Source organism: Homo sapiens, chromosome 18 (genome assembly GCF_000001405.40).
Source record: "Homo sapiens chromosome 18, GRCh38.p14 Primary Assembly".
Lineage (NCBI taxonomy): Eukaryota > Metazoa > Chordata > Mammalia > Primates > Hominidae > Homo > Homo sapiens.
In genome coordinates, this window is record NC_000018.10 from 31,831,356 (window position 1) to 31,847,373 (window position 16,018).

Sequence of the window (16,018 nt, forward strand, 5' to 3'; positions counted from 1 at the left end):
AAACAAACATCCCTTTCATCTAACAATTCTATTTCTAAAAATTATTTTATGAAGCCAACTGTTTATTAATAATAGCAACATCATTACTATAACAGCTAACATTTATTATTTAATAGTTTCTATTCTCTAGGCACAATGCTAAAAGTGGATTATTTCATTTAATGCCCTAAGAGTTAGTATATGTTGGAACTTGATTTCAAACCTAAACTTTTAACTCCTTAGTTAGCCATATATAAGTGTCTGTACATGAATGCTTTTAATATTGAAACTGTTTATAATATTGAAAAATGGAAAACCCAGTACCCAATAAAGTATTAATAAATTTATGATACACAAAATCACATATATAGGTGTGTGTTTGGATTTCAGAGAACTGTCCCAGATCCTGTTTGGGGTGTTATACAAAAATATTAAGTATACGCTTTATAGTATTTTTCCAAAAATTCAAAAATTTCTGAATTCCCAAAAGCATTTGGCTCTAGGAGTATCTGATGTGGGACTGTGGATCTGGATTTTTTTTTGTTGTTAAGTACTATTTTATAATCAAGAAAAAAAAATCTTTAATATTTAAAGCCTCTGTAACACATCTGTAAGCCTTCTATATTACCAAACAAAAAACCAGGACAAGCTTGAGTAACTTTCTTATCCATGTTAGGTAATTATTTGCATAATTTCAAAATATTAAATTGCTCCCAAATCAAATAACCTTGCACTAAACAAATCTTTACCTTGTTGTTTTATGCCGAAGATCAACTATGACATCTACATCAGCCTTAGAACAATTGGAAAGTAAAAGAGTGACTGGTACTAAACAAAGGCTATGGAAGAAAAATAAACAAAAAAGTTATATATTTTTTTCTTCTTAAAAGCAATTTTCCTGAAAATAACACTTAAGACTATGTAACAGAGCATAAGCTCCTTAAAAACAATCAGATTCAAGAAGGAAAAAGCTCAAGTTCCAAAATCACTCAAGACAAATTATATTGTAAATAAAAAATATATTAATACAATGACAATATTAAATATCAGAATATATACATTCACAGAACTATTTTATTTTCATTTATTAATCTTCTAAAAACAACTAAAATGTTTCTAGATATTTCACAAAATGAAAAACAAAATCTCAACTTAGATCAATGAAGAAAAAGTAAACCATGAAAATGCCAACAACTAATACTGTTGTCTTTGTGCTTATTAAAAATTACTTAATTTTGAGAACTTGGCCTAGACTGACATTTGTTTTTCTATCAAATTTGCACAACATCATGTTTTGAAGAATATAAGAATGATTTCTATATAGTTATGAGGAAATCTCTTTCGAGTGGATACATTTTGCTCAGGTAGCCTAGTTTCTGATACCATAATTAATAAATTACTAAAGCATAGGAAAAAAGGCAGTGATAGAAGAGGACATGCGAATAGAGTGGTACAGATTTCAAATCAAGAATGCAAGAAATGAATATAACATGTACAAATGAAGCAGGGTTATATACTATTATCTACCTTTTACTCTATAAACACAAAGATAGTAAAGAAGAAAAAATAGTAACCGTATAAGTTCATACACATTAACTTTTAAATTCTGCTCAGATAATATATTTTATACTTTCAGAAACTTTATATCTTCTTACTGAGAAATACTTTTTAAACAATACCGCAAACGTCACAGGTTTCCCTAAACAAAAACTAAGATGATTTAAAATACATACCAGGTTGTACTGGTGCTATGCCCTAACTTCCCCCACAAACTTCTCATGTGGCAAGAAGGGCAACAAAGACTACTGGGTAGGTGTCCAGTCAGTCTGAAGCATCTCATTAAATTAAGTTCCAATTGCATAATTTGTAGCCCAAAGTAAAAATTCAGGAACTTATGCTATTCTGTTCCCATTTGATCCTCAAATGTCAAATTCTTTGTACCTTATACAAATGCTTCTAGTAGAAGAAGAAATGTGAACATGTGGATATCTCCTGGTCCAAAGTGAAACTCATCATCTTCATTCCAGTGAAGAGCACCCCCATCTACCCCAGCAAACTGTAAGTATCATACTGATTCCTCCTAACAGTCACTAACCTCCACTCCCAATGTTCTTCACAAATTCCTGCCAATTCTCTCACCCACACATCTCTGGAACCTGGTTACTTCACTGTATCTCATTTTCCTTACAAGTTCAAGTCTCATGTCTCATTTTACTGCAAGAGCCTCTTAATTAGCACCACAATGCAATCTATTCTTTAACCATGTTTCTCACACTTGAGTATGCACCAGAAATACCTGGCAAGCTTGTTTTAAAAAACCTGCTGGGCCTACTCTCAGAGATTCTGATTCCATAGGTCTGGAGTGTGGCCCAAACATTGCATTCCTAGGCTGGGCACGGTGGCTTGCGCTTGTAATCCCAGCATTTTGGGAGACCGAGGCGGGCGGATCACAAGGTCAGGAGATCAAGATCATCCTGGCTAACATGGTGAAACCCCGTCTTTACTAAAAATACAAAAAGTAGCCGGGCGTGGTGGCAGGTGCCTATAGTCCCAGTTACTCGGGAGGCTGAGGCAGAAGAATGGCATGAACCCAGGAGGTGGAGCTTGCAGTGAGCCGAGATCACACCACTGCACTCGAGCCTGGGTGACAGAGCAAGACTCCGTCTCAAAAAAAAAAAACAAAAAACAGAAATTACATTTCTAAGTTCCCAGATGATACTAATACTAATGCTCCTGGTCTGGGATCACATTTTGGTTGTTGTTGTTGTTGTTGTTGTTGTTTTTTATTCTTTGAGATGGAGTTTTGCTCTTTTTGCCCAGGCTGGAGTGCAGTGGCACGATCTTGGCTCACTGCACCCTCAGCTTCCCAGGTTCAAGCTATTCTGCCTCAGCCTCCCCAGTAGCTGGGATTACAAGCGCTCGCCACCACACCCGGCTAATTTTTTTTTATTTTTTAGTAGAGATGGGGTTTCACCATGTTGACTAGGCTGGTCTTGAACTCCTGACCTCAGGAGATCCGCCCGCCTTGGCCTCCCAAAGTGCTGGGATTACAGGTGTGTGCCACCAGGTCCAGTCTTGGGACCACATTTTGAAAACTGCTTTACACATTAGTTTTTCTAAAATGCTAATCTAATGAACCACAAACAGGGCTGAGAAATCAAAGTTCTGACAACTATTCTCCCACCACTGCATCCAGTGAAAAAGCTGGGCTCTAGAGTCAGACTGCTACCTGTACCTCAGTTTTCTCAACTGTAAACTGCAAAGAATAATAATTGATTCTACCTCTTGGGTTTGTTGTGATTAGGTAAAACATGTTAAGTGCTGAGAATGGTGACTAGCACATGTTCAAAAGCTCCATAAACATTATTTAATATAACAATTTATGCTCATGGCAGCTAAACATAGTATGATTTTATCTTTGTTATCTCCTGTCACCTATTCTTTCTTCTATTCTCATACCTCTACTGCTCTGTGTCCCACTACCATGACCAAACCTCCTACTGTCCCATTTCCTCACATTTCTACTTGTTTTCTGAAACCCCCATTAAATTAAGAATGCTTCCTTATATCCTCCATCTCTTCTCTTTGTGTTTCTACATCTATCTTTAACTGTATTGTCCTCTCAACAATAGATGCTGTATTTCTTCCAACATCTTCCATACCTCAGGGTGGCTGATGTAGTTCTTAATGATTTCTTTCTACTACCTCTCCTGTAAAGATGCCTCCACTTTTTCATCATAAACTACCTTAAGGTTTGTATTCTTTTTTCTGTTCCCATTCTAACAAACACAGTGACAGTAACTCAGTACAGCGAGAATTCTTTGGGGGAAAGGGGAAGAAATGGATATTCTGAAATATTTGAGGTAAAGATGAAGCATGTGTAGTCTGAACATCTGCTTTACCTCCCATTTGTGAATTCATCTGCTGTATCGGTCAAGCAGAGGCATACACCTAGTAAGACACTATTCTCTCGCTACCCTCCTCTGTACTATCTATTGGCATAATTTTAAAAGTGTCAGGGAAGTTTGTTTTCTTCCTTCAACTCCAAGTCTTGTCATCATTTTGGACAACTTCACTGTCTAGGTATATGACTTATTCAGCACCTTCCCAAATCCTGGACCTATCATCTCCATAATCTTCAGTACTATTCAAAACTCAGCCACACAACTTCCATGACCAAACCATGAAATTTTTTCCCATCACATTAGACAACTATCCCTAACATAATACTCGGTCACCCCACTTTGACCACCATCTCCCAACTCTCTAGCTTTCTCAATTATACTCTCTCATCTGTTTTTGAGTTTTACACAGACACCCAGTCACTTGATCCTTCATTTCAATGGTTCTCAACCTTGGTTACTGTGGTAACTGTGAGTACTGCTTAGCAGTTATTCACTCTCTCTGTGGGACTGTGAATCATCCTTGTTGATATGGAAGTGAGGCTATTTGGTCAATGAAATATTAACATCTTTTGATGCAAGCAAAAGTCTTAAATGTGCTTTTGCAATGTGGCTCACTTTTTATACTCCGGAGACATGCCACCAGAACATACTCCAGGTAGCAGCTGCTCCTTTGGACTGGGCCCAAAATATATGTGGCACAGACGGGAACCCAAGTTTCTTCAGGTGCCAAATCCAAACAGCACACAGACCAAAGCACAGCTTCGGCCAAATTATCAACTGGCAGACCCATGAGTATGGAAATAAATGCTTTGTTATAAGCTACTCATTTCTGAAATGGTTTGTTATGAAGCATTATTGTGGCAACAATGACTAATAGAGATGGACATGGGTATGATCTGCAGACATTTTAAAACTAGAGATGCCGGTACCCTGCTTCCAGAGAATCTGATTGAATCAGCCCAAGCATTGGAAATGTCAGAAATTCCCAAATGATTCTAACATGCAGCCAAGGAGAAAACTGCCACATTTTATCCTTGAACCTGCCTTGTTTTCACATACTTCCATGCAGAGTTTTGATTTTGGAATGCTTCATTTAACCCACTCTTCTACTTTAGTTTGATCAAAACTTTCCTGTTTCACATAGATTCCATAGGGTTTTTTAACCCCTAAGTAGAATGATGTAGAGAACTCCTAAACATCCTAGCCTCTCAATGCAGCAAAGGTTTAACCACTAAGGTTAAAAAGAAGCACCAAGGTTATTCAGAAAGTACATGAAGCAGGACGGGTTTAATAAACAGAGCTGAAGTAGAAGATTGGGTTAAAATGAATCACAGAATCAAAATTGTTCATAGAAGTGTGTGAGGTTCAATAAGGATAAAACACAAACATTTTTATTTTCACTTATGGTTGCATATTAGGATCACCTGGAGAACTTAAGAAAATCCAGATGCCAACCCCTACTCTGGGCCAATCAAACTGGAACCTCTGGGGGTAGGACTGAATGAAGCATCTTTCAGTCTTTTTTTTTTTTTTTTTTTTTGAGACAGAGTCTCGCTCTGTCGCCCAGGCTGGACTGCAGTGGCACGATCTCGGCTCACTGCAAGCTCCGCCTCCTGGGTTCATGCCATTCTCCTGCCTCAGCCTCCCAAGTAGCTGGGACTACAGGTGCCCGCCACCACACCCGGCTAATTTTTTTGTATTTTTAGTAGAGATGGGGTTTCACCGTGTTAGCCAGGATGGTCTTGATCTCCTGACCTCGTGATCCGCCCGCCTTGGCCTCCCAAAGTGCTGGGATTACAGGCGTGAGCCACCGCGCCCGGCCCATCCTTCAGTATTTCTTACATTTCCCCAGGTGAACCCTGCATACATCTGTATCAGAGAAAGGAACAAAGCATGAGTACTGGGCAACATTAAGACCATGACAAAGACTTAGGACCACAAGTATTTAAAAAATAACTTAGGATAAAATTTTTTAAAGATCCAACAAGAGTTAAGTGCTGGTGAAGGTATCAAGCAGAAGGAATTCGCATATGCTGCTATTGGAATATGCAAATTAGTAAAACCACTTTGGAGACGTTACTATGTAAAAAAAAAAAGGCAAGCACATATGTACAAGGAAAGGTGTAGAATATTCACAGCAGAATTCAAAATAGTTCAAATCAGAAACTATTCTATGGCTGAGCGTGGTGGCTCACGCCTGTGATCCCAGCACTTTGGGAGGCCGAGGCAATCTGCCTGAGCCCAGGAATTCAAGACCAGCCTGGCCAACATGGTGAAACCGCATCTCTACTAAAAATACCAAATTTGGCTGACCTGGTGGTGTACAGTGCATGCCTGTAATCCCAGCTACTCAAAGGCTGAGGCACGAGAATCACTTGAACCTGGGAGGCAGAGTTTGCAGTGAGCCAAGATCGTATCACTGCACTCCAGCCTGGGTGACAGTGTGTGACTCTGTCTCAGAAAAATTTAAAAAAAGAAAAAGAAGAAGAAGAAAAAAAAATATTTTAAAAGTCCATTAACACTTAAGTAGGTAAACTAATTCTGGTATATCGAAACATACTCACATGCAATGAAAATCAATTCTACAGGTTCCTGCAATGGCTGACTCTTACTAACACAGTATTAAATGAAAGAAGCTAGACATACAAATATACTCTATAATTCTACTTATATAAAGATTACAGAGATAATCATTTAGGTGTTAGCTTTGTTAAAAAAAAAATCACTTAAAAAAAAAAAAAAAAAAGAGAGACAGGGTCTTGCTGTTTTGCCCAGGCTAGAGTGCAATGGTGCAAACATAGCTGACCGTAGCCTCAAACTAATGGGCTCAAGCGATCCTCCTGCCTCAGCCTCCCAAGTAGCTGGAACTACAGGTGTGTACCACCATGCCCGGCTCTAAGTTACTTTTTAAAATATTTTTTCTCTTAAAGTCACTGTCAAGGTCTTAATTTTGCCCAGTACTCCTTCTATGCATCCTCAGCTAGCATCTTCTCAGTAGCTATCCTAAAATTTCACTTTTTTCAAATTCTCTACCCTTTACTCTTATCTCCTAGATTAATTAGCTAACCTTGCTCTTATAACTACCCCCTGAAATGGAGGCACTACATAACGTGTAAGAAGGTCCCTTCTTTAGCGCAAAGCAAATCCTGTCATTCTTCAGTGCATGTATCTTATCTTTCCATCTACTAAGGATTTTGTTAGTTTCCCTGTATCTCATCATTTTCTTCAAGACCACAAACATGCCTATATCGTACCTAGTAAGAACAGATACTCCCTGATCCCTTTTCATAGCCCAGTTTCTTGAAAGGATGGTCAACGCGGTATCTTTACTTTCTTACCTCCTATTTGCTTCTCAACCTATGATGTCATGCTATTCTACCCTCTATACAGTGGCATTCTTCTCAAAAATCATGATCTCCTTATTGTCAGATCCAATGACCTTTTGGCCCATTTACTATTTGACCTTTCTGTAGCATCTTAAACTATTAACCACTTCTCTTGAACTATTCTCACTCAACCTTTGAGATAGTTTCTTTTTATTGGTCTTTTCTTCCTAATTTTTTAATTAGTTCTTTTTCTTCAGTTTTCTTCATAGGCTTCTTTTTCCTTAGCTTCTTTCTCAGATGTTACTGTTCCACAGGTCACCATCCTCTTTCTGTTCTATTCCATCCTATCCCCATCCCCATCCAGGGTGTTTGCACCAAAATTCATACCTTCAATTATTACTTAGATTGTTTCTAATAGGCTTCTCTCCATCTTTTATTTGCAAAACTGGCAAACTTTTGAAGTGTTGCCTGATTCAGGACTTCTTATTTTTAGAATTTTAGAGATTTATATATTCCAGCTATTTACCAAAATTACAAATATATCACATTTGCCATGAAGTTTACTTAATAAATCTTTAACTGATATTGTCTAAACTTGAACTGTTTAGTTCAAGTATTCTATAGACTCAAAAACATTCTAAATTTCCTCTTCAATATTTGGGTTAATGTCACTGCCAAAATAAAAGAAACAAATACACGTGCCAGTGTGTTGTAGAAAATTTTGGTAACAAAAATAAAGCTCAAACCTTTTTTGATGAAATGGATGATTAAATGATTCTGGGTAGTGAAGACTCGTTTTAATGAGACTAGAAAGCTGCTCTACTGATGGCCTTGAGGAAACTGTAATGTTTTCTGGCCTGAAAAATTTCAATAGTTCCATTTCTGGTGGCTCCTGAGAAAAGAAAGAAAAAACATATGACAATAAAAACACTACCTTGTTTAAAAAAAAAAAAAGCATAGTGTATATATACAAAAGTTAAAATCAGCAGAGATAATGTAATGCATGAACAGTACTTTTCTGCTGTTAAGCTAATAGCTGCTATCATTTGCAGTGTAATCTAAGATAAAAAAATCAGTATCTGGAATCATTTATTCATTCCTCACTTATGTGTTGGAGTTAGACTTGAATCTCAGTAGCTTTACATATTAGCTCTGTTATCTTGGATAAGTTACTTAATACTTTAATAATTAATTTCTTCATATGTAAAAAGAAGTTCATGACAATAATAACTTCAAAGGTTGTTGTGATTCTCATCTGATAATACTGCACAGGACTTAGGACTGCAGACATTCGATTGCATAGCACCTATTTTAATAGCTGAAAATCTAAAACTGTTTAATATTTCATTCTGAAAATATCCTGCTGCATTGTATAGTATAATCTATACTATAATGTGCTTCAACTACACTAGCTAAAGGTTAAAATGCACGTAAAAAGTATTAACATAGCTGTTTGTCAGGCACATTATGACTATTTCAATAAATAATCATTATCATCTAATGAAAATAGAGGTCAGGCAGGGTGGCTCACGTCTGTAATCCCAGCACTTTGGGAGGCTGAGGAGGGCAGATCACTTGAGGCCAGGAGTTGGAGGTTAGCCTGGCCAACATGGTGAAATGCCATCTACTAAAACTATACAAATTAGCCAGGCGTGGTGGTACACACCTGTAATCCTAGCTACTCAGGAGGCTGAGGCAGGAGAATCACTTGAACCCAGGAGGCGGAGGTTGTAGTGAGCCGAGATTGCACCACTGCACTCCAACCTGGGCAACAGAATGTGGCTCTGCCTCAAAATAAATAGAGAGACAGAGGGAGGGAGGGAGGGAGGCAGGGAGTTGGGGAGGGTGAGAGAGAGAGAAAGATGAAAGTAGAGAAACATCCCATTTCTACTATTATTTTCTTTCTTGGTTATTTTTTTTTCTCTATTTTCCCTCACCACCCAGGAGAATATTTGATTTATAATTTTCTGATAGCCGAGTTTGATTTTTATCTATACCAGCAATTGGCAAACCATAGCCCATGGGCTAAATCCAGCCTGCATCCTGTTTTTGTAAAGTTTTATTGAAACGCAGCCACATCCATTTGTCAACATACTGTCTATGGCTGCTTTTTGACTTCAATGACAGAAATGAGTATTATGACATAGTCAATCTGGTGAGCAAAACCTAAAATACTTCCTGGCCTTTTTCAGTGTAAGTTTGCTGACCCCTTATCTACACAGTTGCAAAAGCAAGAGCTAAATTTGCTGGAAATAAAATAAAAGCTGGCACTGGTTCCAGATTCATCCCATTAACAACTAACAAATTAACCATATTATATTCAAGTAACACCCTGGGGCTACTGGTAAAAAAAAAAAAAGACAAATTTTAAAAAACACAAACAAAAAAAGATTATAGCCTAATCAGTGGTAACAGACAAGCATATAATCATATGGCCAGAAATTTCATTTCCAGAAATCTATCCCACAAAATATGTAAAAAGCAAAATATTTGAAACTGGTATGATATACAAATGTATGAAAATTGACCAAAAATATCATATAGTCAAATAAAGTTTAACAGCATGTTAAAAATACATATATTCCAATGCTTATATTTGCATAAGCATGGAACATTTCTGGAATAGAAAAGGAACTTGATTATGGGTAATTTCAAAAAGTGGCCCTGAGGAGAGAAAAGAAAACCAGAATTTGCTTTCTCATTTGTATATTTGTTTTTTTTGTTTTAAATTTTTTATCTTTCCAATTGACAGCTTGTGGATATTTTGCTTTTTTGCAATAAAAATTACTACTTTTATAATAAAAATTTTAAAAAATCAGATAAACCAGAGTATATGAAAGAGAACAGAAATGTGATTAAGGGGAAACCAGAGAAAGAAACTATCTGATACAATGTAATAGCCTTTACATGTGGGATGTAGGTGGAAGTATTTTTGCATGTTTAAAAAGAGGAAAATTAATTCAGAAACGTTAAAAAAAAACTGAAGATCTTTTTTAAGTGGCAGAGATTATATACAAATACAGTTCTATTTTGAACTACTGTGCTATACTGCTTTGGCAATTAAATTTTCCTTCTGCTAATCATATGACTTAAAATTATAATTTTATATGCCTGCTGTTGCCTAAACAGAGGATTCAGATTATGAGGACTTCTACCTATACCTCACAGGGTTGTAATTTTAAGTACTGATGTGAACCAACACTTGACAAATACCAAATACCTTATGAATGGTATCTATTATTGTTATTTACCTATGTGGATTACTTTATCCCCCAGTATCAGATAACTTTCTCTAGCTGAATGTTTTTAAAATTTATTTAAAAAAATAAACTATCTCAGACTTGTTTTCTTTAAGAGACAGGGTCTTGCTATGTTACCCAAGCTGGTCTTGAACTCCTGGCCTCAAGCAATCCTCCCACCTCAGTCTTCTATGCAGCTGGGACTAAAGGCATGTACCACCACACTCAGCTTCTTTCAGACTTTAAGGAAATTTAGATTGGTCAATTAGAGATTCAAATACAAGACTAGTATACCCTTGGTACACAAGCATCTTGGTGTATGTATGGGCTACTTGCCAGCTTTTCACAGGATTCAAAATATAACACTTATATTGGTGATTTTACCTTTGTCCAAGGTGTGTCATTTGGCCTTATAGACTGGTATTTAATCTCACTATTTTCTCAGAGTTAAGTAATGGTGAGATGTTAATCACTACAACACAGTTAATGTGGATGAATGCCAATGTATAGTGATAAATATAATTTGCTACCAACTGACCAATGTGCACAGGGTTTCTGTTGGTAGTTTACTTAGGAAGCAAAGTTTCAGAACACTGATTGTGAGACATGAAATCAGACAAGGGATATTAGTGAGGTAACATAAATGTCGACTGGCATCAGGCTGATCACCTGCACAATGAAGATGTAACTACAGAGACACCAAATACTAATGTGGGTAAGCAGAACCTACTTATCCCATGACAATGGTTGGATGAATATTGGCAATGTCTTTTTTATTCTATAATTTTATAACTGACTGACTCCCCTACTGATGGACAGTTTCTTTCTTTACTTATACAGGATGAGCAGCCCAAATCCAAAGATGCAAAATCTGAAACGCTCTGAAATCAGAAATGCTGCAAAATCCAAAAAATTTTGAGTGTTGACATGACACTCACAGGAAATGCTCTTCAGACCATTTTGGATTTCAGATTTTCAGACTAGGGATGCTCACCTAGCAGGTATATGATGCAAATATTCCAAAATCCAAAACACTTTGGGTACCAGCATTTCAGAGAAGGGATACTCAATCTCTTATTTTCTCTCAGGCTGAATTCAGTTTGTGTATGACTAGGAATGCTCTTTCAAATCTTGCATATTTCTGCTCTGATCCATTACATAGTTTTTTTTTATGTGAATGAATCACTTTATGAAAAGAAAAAGATCTAAAGGTGAATATATTTTCAAGGCAAAAAAATTCATGTACAAAATAGTAAGATAAAAAGTAGAAAGACTTTCCTTTTATAAATTCTTAAGGAAAAATGTTTCTAAAACACTTTACACTTAAGGGTTGTATATTAATCTGCAACACAATCAATTTAGCAGGCTCTTATATTTAAAAATAACAAGAGAAATTATAATTCCTTTCTTTTTATAACAACCATTCAATGAAACCTGTAGTTTATTAAACAATATCACCTCTTCTGTCTTTTTTCTTTTTCGGTTAAAATTTTACCATTCATTAAGTGAGCTGAATGAATGTTTACGTGAACTTCATATGTAGTAAATGCATAACATAAGCACACATATAAGTTCTGGAAATAGAATATTTGCTAAAGGAAATAGATTTTGTTGTTACATTGGTAAAATAATTTTGTGCACAGCATTCCCTATATTTATTCTTTATAAGGCAGAACAAAAATTAAAAGACATGCTGATTATAGAACTGCAATGTTGAAAGTTGCAATCTTAAAGCTTACTGTGTACTATCTATTTGTGTGCAAACTATTAGTATGACTGAGCCACTCATATCTGGTTAAAATATTTTTGGTTTCTTAATGCAGTGGAATGAATTTGGTAACTCAGCATTCTTTATTCATTTACTTAATAATTACCAAGTACTTATTATGTGGTAGCACTATCCCAAGAGGTTGTAGTAAAATAGTAAATAAAGCAAACAAATTCAACCTCAATAAATAAGTCTACCTGGGGGATAGACGGAACAATGTGAAAACTGATAAATTACAAATCCTCAATCAACAGATTTCTATTTTCTCTCAGACAATTTTAAAACTGAAAATTATTATGAAATATTATAGCTGTACTTATTTCACAGAGTCTCATTTGTAAAATGGGTGTAATTCTACCTGCCTTGCTTACAGAGTATGAGGACCAAAGGAGAATAAAAGCCACTTTGTAACCTGCAAGAAACACAAATTCAATATGCTCTCAATCAGTTTGGGTACATTTCCTTACTTTCTGCCACCATAATATCTTCTGGTTCATCTTGCATTTTCTCTGCCCCAGCCCTAAAATCAACCATTTTTCCAAGGAACCCTGGCTCCTTTTATTGGAGAACAGTCAGTAAGTTTTCAGGTGAAATTTTTGTTGCAAATAAAAAAACTACAAGTATACCAAACAATATGGATAAATTTCACAAACACAGAAGTTGAATAAAAGAAGCCGAGGTATATATTGTATGACTATTTACATAAATTCAAAAGCAGTAGTTTTGCTTTTGACTTGTAAGTCAGAAAGAAGTAACTATAAGTTTGGTCTGGAAGAGAAAGATTTCTGATTGGAAAGGAACAAACGCAGAACTTCTGGGGTGCTGGTTAGGTTCTAGTTCTTGATCTGGGTCCTGGTTTGGAGTGTTCCTCAGTTTGTGAAAATCAAATAAGCTATTTACTTTTCTGTACTTATGTTACACTTCAGTAAAAAGTTCAAAAATGTATTATTAATATATTCAAGTCACCAAAAAAATACAAGCTATTTATTTGAGACTTCTAAATTATACTGAATACATTTCTATATACCACCTGTCAGGAGGAAAGCACGTGAACAATGGCCTTAGAAGAATACCTGCAACCTTGCAGTGAGCCGAGATTGTGCCACTGCACTCAAGCCTGGTAACAGAGTGAGACTCTGTCTCAAAAAAAAAAAAAAAGAAAAGAAAAGAAAGAAAGAAACCAGACATTTATACCACCTCAAATTATCTCCGCACAAATTACTTACTATTATGAAAGGAAAAACAGTAACTTGACTGTGAAGAAACATGGCACCACCTTAAATGATCCAACACTGATGAGGCAAATTAACATCATGCACTTTCTTATGCAACACATCACTTAGTATAAACTTAATCTAATCATGAGGAGACATGAGAAAAACCCAAAGAGGTATTATTCTAGAAAATAGGCCGGGCACAGTGGCTCACGCCTGTAATCCCAGCACTTTGGGAGGCCGAGGCGGGCGGATCACGAGGTCAGGAGATCGAGACCATCCTGCCTAACACGGTGAAACCCCGTCTCTACTAAAAATACAAAAAAAATTAGCTGGGCGAGGTGGCGGGTGGCCACTGCACTCCAGCCTGGGCGACAGCGAGACTCCGTCTCAAAAAAAAAAAAAATAAATAAATAAATAAAATAAAATAACTGGCCCAAGCTCTTCAAAAATGTCAATGTCATGATCAACAAATAAAGGCTAAGTAACTGTTTCAGATTAAAAGAGACTAAAGAGATATAACAACTGAATGCAAAGCATGATCCTGAACTGGATCCTGGATAGAAAAGAGCAAATAGTTACATGGATGGAATTAAAACCTTTGATAGCATTTGAATATGGATTGTAAAGAAGAGTACTGCATCAATGTTAAACTTCCTGAATGTGATAATGTTGTAGTTTTTTTTTTTTAATGTAAGAGATTTGTCTTTCTTCTTAGGAATACTCAATGAAGTATTAATATTTAGGGACAGAGTGACAGGATGCCTGCAATTTACTTGGGAGTAATTAAGAACGATTAAGGGAAAAAAACTAATACATATGTAAATAACAACAAAGCAAATAATGCAAAATGTCAACCACTAATAACCTGAATGAAAGTTATAAGGGAGTCTTTTACACTATTCTTGAAAGTTTTCTGTAAGTTTGAAAATTATTTCATAATAAAAAGTTGTCAAAACTAATGGGAGGGGTTGCCTTCAGGTCCACGGTGAAATAAAAAAAATAGTAATAATGGAGGTGGGGCCCTGAAAATTAAGATCTGTTATTTAAAAACAAAATACAGGGCCATTGTTTGAATTACTAGACTAAATGTGCTTATATTCTATTCATATTTACTATGAAAGTTTTTCAGTAAGATTAAGTATTATTTTAGGAAAAATAAGAAAGCATACTCAATGCTATCAGCAGCTGCTACACAACTCCAGAGGCCACCTTTTACATATTACAATATACCCTCGGAGCTCTGCAATGATATCCTGTTATAACAAATAAGAAAATATAGAGATATAGTTTCTCTACTCTTAAGCAAATCAATTCTTTTCATACCTATGAATTCTGGATTCAATATGGAATGTATGTGAGGAAACCCCAAAAACCATAACTGCATCTTAATACTCTGATAAAGGTGCTAATGAATTTTAAAATCAATTTATGTTCACTTTTAACTTTAATCATTCTTCTGTCACCAACACCCAACCCAAATACCAATATAAAAACCTGAACATGGCAGTGCGTGGTAGCTCACGCCTATAATCTCAGCACTTTGGGAGGCCAAGGCAGGAGGATCGCTTGAGCCCAGGAGTTCAAGACCAGCCTGGGCAACATGGTGAAACTCCATCTCTACAAAAAAACACAAAAATTAGCCAGGTGTGGTGGCACACACCTGTAGTCTCAGCTACTCAAGAGGCTGAGGCCAGAGGATCACCTGAGCCCGGGGAGGTCAAGGCTGCAGTGAGCCATGATTGTGCCATTGCAAACCAGCCTGGGTGGCAGAGTGAGATCCAGTCTCAAAACAACAACAAAAAAAACCAAAAAACAAAACCTGAACAAACCAGACCCCTTCAAAAACACAAAAGCCAACCAACCAAACAACAACAAAAAAAAACCCACAAGTTCACCAGAAAGCTCCAAAGCAAACTATGTTATCACCTGTTTCTGAGGATATGAAAAGGCTTCTTTTCCTATAGTGCGAAGAATAACATGATGTTGACCTTCCAAAATAAGCTGTTTACTGTCTTCCACAACGTATGCCTAAAAAATGCAAAGTACAAAAACGTTACCGTGCTTGACAGTAACCTCTAAAGTAACCAACCCAATACTTGATAGAAAGTGGAAATAATATGGCCAATATCTATCAATTATTGACACTCCTGGCAATGTCACCATTTCTACTTTTAGTTATTCATTCAATCAATAAAGTATCTATCCAAAAAACAAATCTTTTCACCTCAATATAACACAGTTGGCCTGGATATTTGAGAGAGATACATCATGAAATCCTTTCCAACATTCTTTAGAATTCTTAAGAAACTACTTTAAAAGAACTGTGCTATAACACAAGCTGTTTTCTTTATTGAACTACCAATATACAGCTAAAAGGCTTATTCTTACAGCCTAGCTTCTGAAATGTCCTAGGGTTTATCACACAGCTGAGCAAAATCAGTGAGTACAATCATAAATCCTGTAAGTGGAAATGTTATGTTCATAAATATAAATACATATGCTTTAAAAAAGGCTTTTTTCTTCCAATATAGTGAGCTGACTTTATCTATATTATAATACTTGTTCCAGTTTATAACTCTTCTCT

General features: G+C 36.2%; 1 protein-coding gene across 11 annotated transcripts in view; it reads right to left on the reverse strand.

The window, feature by feature from the left end:
* TRAPPC8 (trafficking protein particle complex subunit 8) overlaps window positions 1-16,018 on the reverse strand; it is a 113,932-nt gene that overhangs the window by 2,159 nt on the left and 95,755 nt on the right. For 5 of the 11 annotated variants that reach the window (NM_014939.5, XM_005258233.4, XM_017025615.2 and 2 more), the window contains 3 exons: window positions 15,361-15,462; window positions 7,957-8,102; window positions 729-818 (listed from right to left, as the gene is read on the reverse strand). In NM_014939.5, coding sequence (NP_055754.3) covers window positions 729-818; window positions 7,957-8,102; window positions 15,361-15,462 — 338 coding nt within the window. Of the gene's footprint in view, window positions 1-728; window positions 819-956; window positions 5,754-7,956; window positions 8,103-15,360; window positions 15,463-16,018 lie in introns of those variants that run through there. The other 6 variants (XM_047437354.1, XM_006722420.5, XM_017025616.3 and 3 more) reach the window with 3 other exon arrangements.